The sequence below is a fragment of the Homo sapiens genome, chromosome 1 (assembly GCF_000001405.40).
Source record: "Homo sapiens chromosome 1, GRCh38.p14 Primary Assembly".
NCBI lineage: Eukaryota > Metazoa > Chordata > Mammalia > Primates > Hominidae > Homo > Homo sapiens.
The window spans coordinates 235,904,842-235,917,588 of NC_000001.11; the positions used below are offsets into that span (position 1 = coordinate 235,904,842).

General features: G+C 43.4%; 2 long non-coding RNA genes and 1 pseudogene across 8 annotated transcripts in view, besides 1 other annotated feature; 2 read left to right on the forward strand and 1 right to left on the reverse strand.

Moving 5' to 3' along the window:
* LOC105373215 (uncharacterized) overlaps nucleotides 1-12,747 on the forward strand; it is a 66,658-nt gene that overhangs the window by 12,557 nt on the left and 41,354 nt on the right. The window contains exon 3 of one of the 7 annotated variants that reach the window (XR_001738544.2): nucleotides 6,994-7,408. The exons of the other annotated variants lie outside the window; for them this stretch is intronic. This is a non-coding gene — a long non-coding RNA (uncharacterized LOC105373215). Of the gene's footprint in view, nucleotides 1-6,993; nucleotides 7,409-12,747 lie in introns of those variants that run through there. 7 annotated transcript variants of the gene reach the window in all.
* Nucleotides 5,165-6,364: an enhancer, noted in NCBI's record as "CDK7 strongly-dependent group 2 enhancer chr1:236073306-236074505 (GRCh37/hg19 assembly coordinates)". NCBI's record gives its function as "activates an origin of replication core promoter dependent on BRD2, BRD4, P300/CBP, MED14 and CDK7 cofactors, with strong dependence on CDK7, by STARR-seq in HCT116 cells {active_cell/tissue: HCT116}" and the evidence as "EXISTENCE:reporter gene assay evidence [ECO:0000049][PMID:35650434]".
* Nucleotides 6,193-12,747, reverse strand: part of LINC02768 (long intergenic non-protein coding RNA 2768) — a 61,478-nt gene continuing 54,923 nt past the window's right edge. Inside the window, exon 3 of the long non-coding RNA NR_183724.1 lies at nucleotides 6,193-7,627. This is a non-coding gene — a long non-coding RNA (long intergenic non-protein coding RNA 2768). The remainder of the gene's footprint in view (nucleotides 7,628-12,747) is intronic.
* Nucleotides 10,574-10,680, forward strand: RNU6-968P (RNA, U6 small nuclear 968, pseudogene; annotated as a pseudogene).

The window sequence follows — 12,747 nt, forward strand, 5'->3', positions numbered from 1 at the left end:
CACCATGTTGGGGGCAGGAGATACAAAAATAAATAAGGCACAGTCCCTACTCTCTGGAGTTAAAAAGACTAGTGTGGAAGATGTAATCATAATCAAGTAACTGTAATGCGGTTTTATAAGGGCTCCAGTAAGAGGTGACCCCAGAAGGTGATGGGAACACATAGGAGGAGACCCTAACCTGATTTTGGGGTCCCAAGAAAGTCTTATAAGAAGTGATGTCCAAGCACTATTAGATGGGAGGGAATTCTTTTTCGAGACAGGGTCTTGCTCTGCCATCCAAGCTGGAGGGCAGTGGTGCAATCATATCTCACTGCAGCCTCGACCTCCGGAGCTCAAGTGATCCTCCTGCCTCAGCCTCCCAAGTAACTGGGACCACAGGTGTGCACGTCACACCCAGCTACTTAAAAAATTTTTTTTTGCAGAGATAGAGTCTCACTATGTTGCCCAGGCTGGTCTCGAACTCCTGAGCTGAAGCGATCCTCTTGCCTCAACATCCCAAAGTATTGGGATTACAGGTGTGAGCCACTGCACTCAGCCCTAGATGGGAATTGTTAGCTCCAGACTTATCTTTGAGCCTCATAGAGTTTGTGGAAAATAGAATAATGACCCGCAAAAATGTCCATATCCTAATCACCAGGAGCTGTGAATATACGTGGAAAAAAAAACAACAACAACAAAGAAAAACTTTGTCAATGTGATTAAGTTAAACATCTTGAGATGGGAGCTTATTTATACTGGGTTAGCTGGGTGGGTCCACTGTAATCACATGTAATCCCTTATAAAAGGAGTCAAGGCCGGGTGTGGTTGGCTCACCTGTGTAATCCTAGCACTTTGGGAGGCCAAGACGGGCCGATCGCCTGACGTCAGGAGTTCGAGGTCAGCCTGACCAACATGGCGAAAACCCATCTCTACTAAAAATACAAAAATTAGCCAGGTGTGGTGGCACATGCCTGTAGTCCCAGCTACATGGGAAGCTGAGGCAAGAGAAACGCTTGAACCCAGGAAGCAGAGGTTGCAGTGAGCCGAGATTGGGCCACTGCACTCCAGCCTGGGTGACAGAGCGAGACTCCATCTCAAAAAAAAAAAAAAAAAAAAAAAGAAAGAGTCAAGGCCAGGTGTGGTGGCTCACGCCTGTAATCCCAGCACTGTGGGAGGCCAAGGCAGGAGGATCACTTGAGCCCAGGCTGCAGTGAGCTATGATTGCACCACTGCACTCCAGCTTGGGTAACAGAGTGAGACTCTGTTTCTAAAAGAAATTTTTTTAAGTAAATAAATAAAGAGGGAATCAAGAAGGTCAAAGTCAGTAGTGGGAGATGTGACAACAGAAGCAAGAGGTTAGAGTGATGCGAGGAAGGGGCCATGAGCCCAGGAATGCAGGTGACCTTCAGAAGCTGGAAAAGGCAGGAAAACAATTCATCCTTAGAGACACCTGAAGGAGCCTGCCCTGCTGACACCTTGCTGTAGCCTGCAAGACACATTTCGGGCCTTTTCCACAACTGTAAGAGAATAAATCTGTGATGTTTTAAGCCACTAGGTTTGCGGTAATTTCATACAACAGCAATAGAAAACTAATACAGAGTTTAAGATATAACTTGCTCAGTGTCACAAATTAGACAATGATGAAGCCAGGATTAAAACCAAGAGTGAATAATTCCAAAGCCCAAGTGGTCTTTCCTCAGAGCTCATATTACCTCTTAGGAAACTCTTTAGGTCTTCATTCAATATAATTTGAAGAACTTGTCTGTCAGCCTCCCTTCTCTCTTGCCTGAGGCACAAATATATGCTCACGGAGACGGTAAGTGGCATTAGCTGCAACAATGCTGGAACGCAAGAGGACGAACATCTGCAGATCAATGAATGTTTGTTTTCTGAATAGTATTGTGGAAAAGGAACCGGATTAAATGTTTAAGAGACTTAGTTCTAGTCCTAGTACTGGTATTAACCAGCTCTGAGACTAGAGCAAAGCCCTTAATATTTCTAAGCCTCTTTTTTGCTCATCTGTGAAATGAGGGCTTAAGCTAGACAGTTTTTGATATTCTTTAGTTTCAACTTTCTATAATTCCTCAAGACTCCCAGTATGTCCTGCCTCTTCTCTCCAGGACACACACTTTGAGGCCATTTAAGTCTCTAATGGGAGTTCAGTTTTAGCAACTTAGATGCCAGTTCATCTATTATTTAGCCAAGGACGAGGAAAGAGACCTCTCCTTTTCCAGTGTCAGCAGAGATCATCTTAAAGTCCCTGAGTTTTAGAACCTCAAAAGATTACTTAGCAATTGGCAAAGTAGAAGAGAATGATCCGAGTTTGTAAATTCTGATAATTGCATTAAAGACTTATTTGAATGGTCCTAGATGAAAAATAGTTCCAGCTAGTTCTGGAAATGGCCATACTCCAGGTCGTCTGGTGCTTGAAAGAGGAGCTTGAAATAAGATCTGGACCATTGGCAAATGATCTTAGGGGCCACAGTATACTAGATTCAAGGCTGTTTCAGGTTGTGAGTTCAAGCCGAAAGCAATACTGAGGCTTTAGCTATGCGGGAGTGATCCCTGTGGGTTTCAAGCAGCGTTAATGATTATATTTGCCACATCACAGCTTGGCATATTTGAAGCATGGAAACCGCAGCACAAATTTCCCTCTATCTTTCTGTGCTCGTTCTAGGTATAATTCTACCGGTGCTGCTGATGTTACCCAGATTGGTTCCTTGACATTTCTCTGCTTTCTGCACTGTAGATGCCCTAGAACATTAAGGAGGCAAACATACTGATTATTAGCTGGATCGATCGACAAACAATAAATAATAAACACACCCATGGCCTTAAAGGACTTTCCCTTCTTGACATCTCTCTACAGCAGGTGACACTCATCACTTTCTCCTAAAACCTGTTTCCATCCTATTCCAGGATGCTTTACCCACTTCCTCTTCTGGGCTGCCCCTGCTTACTTTCTACCTCGGGCTCCTCTTCTTCCCTTTGCCTGCTCACTCTTAGTCTTCCATTTCTATACATGGTTCTCAACTTTCCTCTGCACGTTTTCTCCCTTGACAGCCTCGTCCCATCTCAGTGCTTTAACTTCCTAATGCGGACCACACTGAAGTCTATAGGGACCTCCAAGCTGTCTCTCGAGCCTCAGTCCCACATACTGAAGACACTGGGTCACAGAGCCTGGGCTGAATCCCATCTCTGCCACTCAGAACAGCTGTGTGAATGTGGTCACGTGACTTCAGCCTCCATTTCCTTATCCATAGAATGGGGAGAATCATAGAATCCACCTCTTGGTGTTGTAGTAAGCATTTAGATGTTAATTTTGTGAAATGATTGGTTCAGAGTATTCACTTAATAAATGATATCTTTTTTTTTTTTTTGAGATGGAGTCTTGGTCTGTCACCCAGGCTGGAGTGCAGTGGCATAATCTCCGCTCACTGCGGCCTCCACCTCCTGGGTTCCAGCAATTCTCCTGCCTCAGCCTCCTGGGTAGCAGGAATTACAGGCACATACCACCATACCTGGCTAATTTTTGTGTTTTTAGTAGAGATGGGGTTTCACCATATTGGCTAAGCTGCTCTCGAACTCCTGACCTCAGTGATCTGCCTGACTTGGCCTCCCAAAATGTTAGGATTACAGGTGTGAGCCACTGTGCCTGCTCATAAATGATATCTCTAATTTTATTTGAATAATTGATCTTTAGAACTTGAAAACTCTGCTAGCACATCAATACATTCCTCTTCTCTCCAAATAAGCAAAACCAAGCACCTCCACACAATCCATCCAGTGATCTCTACTTCTGTTAGTGGTGTCACCTACCTTCCCGTTTTCTAGACCTAAGAGTTTGAAATCAACATTGAGCCTCTTTCTTTTGCCCCCACATGTAGTCAATTGCCAAGTCCTGCCTCTCAGTTCAAATCCGGTCCCTCCTCTCCATACTTTCCTCAGTAGCCTAATTTACATTGCTCACGGTCACAGTTCCCTAACCAGACTCCCTTCCTCTCGCAATCTATTCTGCACCTCACAGAAACATTCATATTGGCTGTAATTGCACACTCCCTGGTCCTAAACAAACTTCCACTGACTCACCCTTCTTGTTGAATAAAATCCAACCCCTCAATGTGGCATTCAAGTTCTAGCGCAGTATGATGGAGGCTTGGCTCAGAGTGTGTGTTGAAGGGCTGGGCGGGTGGGGACTGCCCTCTGGATGGCATGAGTAGGCATCAGCTTGGAGTGGGAGAAACTATGAGTCACTTGGTTGTTTTCAGTAAGTGGCAGGGAGTTTAAAAAGAGAACGGATAGCTACATTCCAAATCGCAAAAAATGTAAAAAATCATATGGGCATGAATAACATTCAGCCACAAATATTTATGAAGCTTCTGCTGTGTGCCAGACAAAATGGCTGGGTATTAGGACTATGACAGTGAAGATAACACAGCCCTTGCTCTCAAGGATTTACAGTTGATGAGAAAGGCAGACAAATCCAGGAGGCATTATAATCCACCATGACAGCTGCTGAGCTCTTCTGTGGGAATTTGCAGCAGTGGCACCCACATATGTGGGCATTTGGAGAAAGTGGGGAAAGCTTCCAGGAGGAAATGATGTCTTAACTGGGACAGAAGCAAGAAGAGTCAGCCAGGTAAGGGTGGACAGGTCAGGGTCGGGAGGGGGTGTTTCAAGGCCAAGCGGATGGCCTGGGACCACCAAGAGACAGAGAGAGCTTGGTGGGATGGTGCCATTTGGCTGAGACTTACCTGGGGACAGAGGTGAGTGATGTTGAAAGATATACTTCAAAACATCATGCTGGCTTGTAATCCCAGCACTCTGGGAGGCTGAGGCGGGCAGATCACGAGGTCAGGAGATCGAGACCATCCTGGCTAACACGGTGAAACCCCGCCTCTACTAAAAATACAAAAACATAGCGGGCGTGGTGGCGGGCGCCTGTAGTCCCAGCTACTCGGGAGGCTGAGGCAGGAGAATGGCGTGAACCCGGGAGGCGGAGCTTGCAGTGAGCCGAGATCGCGCCACTGCACTCCAGCCTGGGCAACAGAGCAAGACCCTGTCTCAAAACAAACAAACAAACAAAGAAAAAAATCATGCTGTACATGATAAATACATCCAATATTATCTGTCGATTTAAAAAAATAATAAAAGGTAAGGTTAAAGAGGTAGGCAGGGAATGGATAATGAAGGACTATTCCATGAGAAAAGGATCGGCTTTCACCCTGGAGATGAAGGGACTCACGGGTTTTAAGCAGGGGAGTGAATCAGATTTTCTTTATTCTCAGAAGCTGGGGAAAAGGTTGGCGTTTTAGTTGGGAAGAGGCTAAATACCCCAATAATTAGAACTCAAAAGAATTTAAGTTAGTGACAAGATAATTGTTCTTGGCTCTGTATCTCTGACCTTTGTGAGGTATAAGTAACAAGAGAAGTCATCAATTAATTTATGTTGTTGTCTAAATAAATGTTTCTCAGGATCGTAATTATAGGATGTCAAAGTCAGAAACGGCCTCAGTTAGTGTCTGCTTTAAAATAAAAGCATTGGTGTATTGAATGGTGGGTCCTTGCTTTTTTTTTTTCTGGTTTGCTGCGTTAATTTAGCACCATCCACATTCTGTGGCCCCTGAGTAATTGTAAAACCCAGGGTGGAGGCTCTGCCTGGGAGGGCACTGAGAGGGCCCTGGCCCAGCCCAACACTCCCATGCTCAGGGCGATGAGGTCATGCTGGCTCCCACAATACAGGCACAGCAGGTTCAGTAAGAAAGAGACAGGAATGGGCCGGAGAGGTCAGGCATCCTAGGAGGAGGGAAACTAGAGCCTCGGTATATTAATAGATACCACCCCCTTTAGCCTAATTTTCAAAGACAGTGATACAATGACTCCTCCAGATCCAGACTCGAAAAGGCTGGCTTAATAGAATTTAGTCCTGTGCAGCAAATGTCATCAGGAAAAAATCCATCTTGATGGCTTAGTCATTACAGTGGCTTCTGCGGCAGAATGGAACAGCCCTGGCAATGGGTATTAGTCACACACAAGAGATGACTAAGATTTGATTATCTCCTACAATGGAGGTTGAAAAAATGGCTCCCCCAACTCCCAAGTGTGTTTTAAGGTCCCTGGAAATTTCAGCATCATCACCACTACCCTAAAACTGGTATCACCAATCTGGGGAACAACTCCAGACTTTGAGTTAACACTATAGAATGGGCTTGCTTTTCAGAAAATACCTGCCTTTTTATTTCATCTGCCTGTGAGAGTTCATTGGCAAGCAATATTGTACAGTGCAGTCTCTTGGGAGAGATCGTCCTGAATTTATACTCTGCAACCATTACTCAGCTATGTGTCTTTGAGCAAGTTACTTAACCTCTCTGTGCATCTGGGTCAGCATTTCTAAAATGGGAATAATAATATCTACCTTACAGATGAATATTAAAAGAGGTAACTAGTACGAGGTGCTTAACAGTAAATGCATTTCAGAAAACAATTTTTTTTTCATTTATGAATTTCTGTTGTTATAGCGGGATAAAGTCACACCAGGGGAAAGAGGTTGACAGGGACAGACAACACTATAAATGTTAGCTATTATTATAATTCCAACCACGATTTCAAATAATCTTGTTCACCTGTCACAAAACTGATGATGACAGTTACAACACTGTCTGGGTGATTGGCGTCAATCTAGCATTTTACAGCTTCTGGGGGCATTTGTGTCTCCTGTGATTTACCTGCTCTTATCATTTGTCCAATTTTCGATTGGGGCAAGATACCTTTTCTAATCAATCTCAATTGAAACCTATCTTCACACATTCATATGACAGCAACGTCAAGGGTCTTAGACCTTGAGGTGGCCCTGGCTTGCAGATAGACACCATGTAGAATTTATAACCCCTTTGCAGTTAGCTCATTAGGGTCCTGCAGACTTTCTCTCTACAGTGTCTGTGTTTTCATAAGGACATGTAACACTTCTTTATCTTTTTCTTAATGCTTTAGCCATTTCCTATTTTTCCTACTTAGGCTCCCCAACTAAGGAGACATTGACCTTGAGATTTTGTATATAAACCACCATGGATCCCAGAGAGAAAACGGATAATCCAAGAAAAAAAAAAACTACACCCCGATTACTTCCACATCTTCCATTATATAGTTGTAAGTTGCATTTGTTCAGTCAGCCATTTACTATCTATTCAGCACTTACAATGTGTCAGAAAAGGCACTGGCATTTGTCCAAAGATGGAAAGACGTGGCCCTAGGCTCGAGAAGTGCACACCAATAGAGGACCTGAAGGAAGACAGACACTGCACTTGGCCAAGTGGCTGCAGGGACCAGGGGCACGCCAAGAAAAAGGAGCTGTGGGCGCTATATGCTGCATGCATTTTCTGTCTTAATGTTTGTTTGCCTTTTTTTTCCTATTAAACTTCTGGAAGCCAGAGCCATCCATGGTGCCTTCCTGGTTTCGCAGAGCTCCAGGGCCTTGTCCACCCTGTGGCCTGCAAGCAGTTCTTCCCTTGCATTCCGTATACCATGAGCTGTGTAGGGCCTGGGGAAATCAGGACACAGTTGTTTCGGCACAGCTCAAGTCTCTGTCGACTTCTTTTCCCTCGTGTGGTGGGTTCAAATTCAGACATCATCCTAATAGAGCAACAGAAACCTATAAATGAAAAAAAAGTTTTTCCAAAACACATTTTCAGAAAGGGTGCTAAGCACGTTATAAAAACTATCCCCTCCCCACCTTTTTTTTTTTTTTCAAGACACCCAGCCTGGAGTGCAACGGTGTGATCTCCGCTCACTGCAACCTCCGCCTCCTGGGTTCAAGCGATTCTCCTGTCTCAGCCTCCCGAGTAGCTGAGATTACAGGTGTGTGCCGCCATGCCCGGCTAATTTTTTGTATTTTTAGTAGAGACGGGGTTTCACCATGTTGGCCAGGCTAGTCTCAAACTCCTGAACTCAGGTGATCCACCCACCTTGGCCTCCCAAAGTGCTGGGATTACAGGCATGAGCCACTGCACCCCAGCCCAAGTTATCTCTTTTAATGATCATAACAAATCTCTGAGGTAGATATTATTATCCTTCTTCTAGAGATGAAAAACAGAGGCACAGAGAGGCTAAGTAACTTGCTCTAAGTCACACAGGTGATAAGTGAAGTTTCCAGATTATGAATCCAGGCAGGCCTCTTACCAGAGCCTGGCAATATACAATATTGTTTATCCATGAAATCTCACTGTTATATAGATGAAATTTTAAAAACAGAGATGGTGAATTCACTTATTAGACTGGCAAAGATTGGGGAGCCAAATTATGCGCAGGGTGAGAAGGGCCTGGGGAACGGTTTTCTCTGCCATCCGTGTAGATAAATAGATAAGGTGATGAACATCCATTCCTCCACTCCTAACAAAAGTCAGAATTTGTTCGGGTAGCCACCTATCTCCAGTTCCAGAGAGCAACTTGAGTATTTCAAAGCAGTGTTTTTCAAATTGTAGGTCATGATCCCCTGGTGAATCATGAAGTCTGTTTAATGGGTTACAGTACAGCTAGTGTTTTTCTTAAAAAATGAAATTGAGGAGAAAATGGAGTTTATGGTAGCACCTTTCATTTGGAGTTCTGGCTTCTATGAGAAAACAAATGTCTTTATTACGGAAGCCAATCTGTGTTGAGATTGTTGTTCCTTTGCAGCTGAAAGCATCCTGGCTGATTCACTGGCAGTGTGAACTGTGTGATATATTTCTGGAGGGCAATCTGACTATATGTGTCAAAAATTTAACTGAGCATACTCAATAATACCATTTTTAGGGATATATTTCAAGGCAGGAAATGACTGGGTGGACAGTGTACAAGGATGTTCATAGAATCAATATTTTTAATGGCAAAAAATTAGAAAACATGTAAATAATCATCAACAGAGATTCAACTATATCGTATTCTACATTTTATACAACAGAATGCTATGCAGCCCGTAAAATAAATTGATAAGACTTAGAAAGTAGCAAATTGGGCCAGGTGTGGTGGCTCACGCCTGTAATCCCAACACTTTGGGAGGCTGAGGGAGGCAGATCACTTGAGGTCAGGAGTTCGAGAACAGCCTGGCCAACATGTTGAAACCCCGTTTCCACTAAAAATAAAAAATTAGCCAGGCGTGATGGCACGTGCCTGTAATCCCAGCTATTCGGGAGGCTGAGGCATGAGAATTGCTTGAACCCAGGAGGCGAGAAGCAGAGGTGGTGCTGCTACACTCCAGGCTGGATGACAGAGGGAAACTGTCTCCAAAAAACAAAAAAGCAGCAAATTGCTCATATCATGTATTAGCATGAAAAACTAGAAAACAGTCAAGCCAATGAGTTAAAATGAAAAGTTAAGACACCTGTGATTTTTGCAATCACTAATGTATGATTGATACAGGCAACAAGCATCATTAGATGCAGATGCTAAAACCACTGAGTAAGTAGGAGCAGGATGCTCATACGGTTTCAAAAGACCACCCCGATAGAGGGAAAAAAGAATCTTTACATGTGGCAGAGGCCACTTTAACCAAGTAGTAAAACTTTGCATTCCCAACAATGGGGCAAACTCACACAGTGAGCCTCTGATGCCAAGTCTCAACATCACTTTGATTATATCCTTGTCAGAAAGATTTAACCAGAATCTAGTCAAAAGGAAACAGACAAAGCCATATTGTAGAGCCTTCCACAAGATAATTGGCTTGGACTAAAAAATGTCCATGTCACAAACAACAACAAAATGTGACAGGGAATATTCTGAGCAGTGATGAACAATAGAAATGTAATGCAGGCAAAAGTGGAATTTTAATATTTTTAAAGCCACATGAAAAAGTGACAAGACAGGTGAAACTAATTTTTAATAATGTATTTTGACCCAACGTAATCAATGTATTCTCATTTCAACATGCAATCAAAATAAAATTTGAGTATAGAATATATGAAATTGAATATTGAATTTAAAATTTGAATATTTAAAATTTGAATACTGAGTATAAAATTTGAATATCTGTGTATTAGATAATATTACTGTATTGATGTTAAAGTTGTTGGTAATTATTATGAACTGAACGTTTGCGTTCTCTCACAATGCATATGTTGTGGGAGTGTAGTGTAGTGTATTGGTATTTGGAGATGAGACCTTTGGGAGGGAAATATATTTAGATGAGGTCATAAGGGGCAGGACTCTTGTGATGGGATTAGTGTCCCCATAAACAGAGGAAGAGATGTCAGAGCTTTCTCTCTGTCTCCACCACGTGAAGACATAGTGAGAAGACAGCTGACTGGGTGCGGTGGCTCTTGCCTGTAATCCCAGCACTTTGGGAGGCTGAGGCAGGTGGATCACTTGAGGTCATGAGTTTGAGACCAGCCTAGCTAACATGCTGAAACCCCATCTGTACTAAATACACAAAAATTAGCCGGGTGTGGTGGCGCACATCTGTAATCCCAGCTACTCAGGAGGCTGAGGCAGGAGGATCGCTTGAACCCAGGAGGTGGAAGCTGCAGTGAGCCAAAATTGCGCCACGGCACTTGAGCCTGGGTTACGGAGCAAGACTCCATCTCAAAAACAAACAAACAAACAAACAAACAAACAAACAAAAAATGTGCTTGCTTTGGCAGCACATATACTAAAATTGGAAGGATACAGAGAAGATTAGCACGGTCCTTGTGCAAGGATGACACGCAAATTCCTGAAGCGTTCCATATTTTTAAATTGTTCTACTATAAAGACACATGCACACATATGTTTATTGCAGCACTGTTCACAATAGCAAAGACTTGAAACCAACCCAAATGCCCATCAATGATAGACTAAATAAAGACAATGTGACACATATACACCATTGAATACTATGCAGCCATAAAAAAGAATGAGTTCATGGCCTTTGCAGGGACATGGATGAAGCTGGAAACCATCCATTCTCAGCAAACTAACATAAGAACAGAAAACCAAACACCACATGTTCTCACTCATAAGTGAGAGCTGAACAATGAGAACACATGGACATAGGGAGGGGAACATCACACACCGGGGCCTGTCGGGGGTGCTAGTGGAGGGATAGCATCAGGAGAAATACCTAATGTAGATGACAGGTTGATGGGTGCAGCAAACCACCATGGCATGTGTATACCTATGTAACAAACCCGCACATTCTGCACATGTACTCCAGAACTTAAAGTATAATAATAGAAGAAGAAGAGGAAGAAGAAGAGGAAGAAGAAGAGAGAAGAAGAAGAAGAAGAGAGAAGAAGAAGAAGAAGAAGAAGAAGAAGAAGAAGAAGAAGAAGAAGAAGAAGAAGAAGACGACGACGACGACGACGACGACGACGACGACGACGACGACGAAGACGACGACGACGACAACAACAGCCATTTGCAATCTGTAAGCCAGGAAGGGGGCCCTCACCAGGAACTGAATCAGCTGACACCTTGATCTTATTACACCTTCAACCTCTGGAATTTTGAGAAATAAGTGTGTGCTGTTGAGGTCACCCAGTCTATGGCATTTTGGTATAGCAGCCCAAGCCTACTAATATGGTAATAATAGTACTTTGTTCTATAGGAGAATGCTGTTATTCTCAAGAGACACATGCTGAAGTACTTAGGGTCGACTCATGATATCTGCAACTTACTTTCAAATGCTTAAACAAATTATACATAGATGATAGGTACCTAAATAGAGATAGAGATACAGCAAGCAAAGAAGCAACTATTAATAATTGGTGAATCTAGGAAAAGGATATTCGGGTGTTTACTAGTCCAACTTTTTTCAGCTATGAAATTTTTATTTTATGTTTTATTTATTTATTTATTTTTTGAGACAGAGTCTCACTCTGTTGCCCAGGCTGGAGTGCATGATCTCGGCTCACTGCAACCTCCGCCTCCTGGGTTCAGGCGATTCTCCTGCCTCAGCCTCCCGAGTAGCTGGGACTACAGGCACACACCACCACGCCCAGCTAATTTTTGTATTTTTAGTAGAGACGGGGTTTCACCATGTTGGCCAGGAAGGTCTCGATCTCTTGACCTCGTGATCTGCCTGCCTCGGCCTCCCAAAGTGCTGGGATTACAGGCATGAGCCACCGCGCCTGGCCAAAATTTTCTAAATAAGAAGTTGGAAAGAGTAAATAGAGTAAAATGATCTGAGAGAAAAAGAATCCAAATAATAACATTTATACTATTTTATAGTTTACAGTGTATTTTCACGTATATTAATGTGATCCTTTCAAATATCCACGGAGGTAGACATATCGTGTGTTTTATCCTTATTTTGTAGTCTTCAAAAACATTTCCTCAGTGCCTAACCATGTGCCAGGCATGGTACATACATCATCTCTTTTACTTTCTACAAGAACTCCAGAAGGCAGATATCGGCTCTCCCATCCACGGAGGCTCTGGTGGGATTCCGAAGCTAGCAATCTGCAGAGCTGGCATCTGAATGCAGCTTTGTCCGACTCTGAGGCCTGAGCTCATCCCTCTGTTGGCATCCTGTTTGTGATTCCTGTTTTACAGATGCAGGAATGGAAACTCAGAGAAGTTAATTAACCTGTGCAGTGTCACACAGCTACTCGGGGCAAAGCCAAAATTCAAGCCAGAACTTCAGTCTCCTATTCCAAAGCTCGGACCTCCTTCCAAAGCGCCTGTAATGAGCACTCTGGAAATAGGTTCAGGATCTAAGCTAGTGGCTCATGTGAGAAGAAGTCTCAGCACACAAGGGCCCTCAGCACAGGAAATTACTCAAGTTATTGGAGTGGAGCCAGGGAAAGGCCCCGAAGCTCA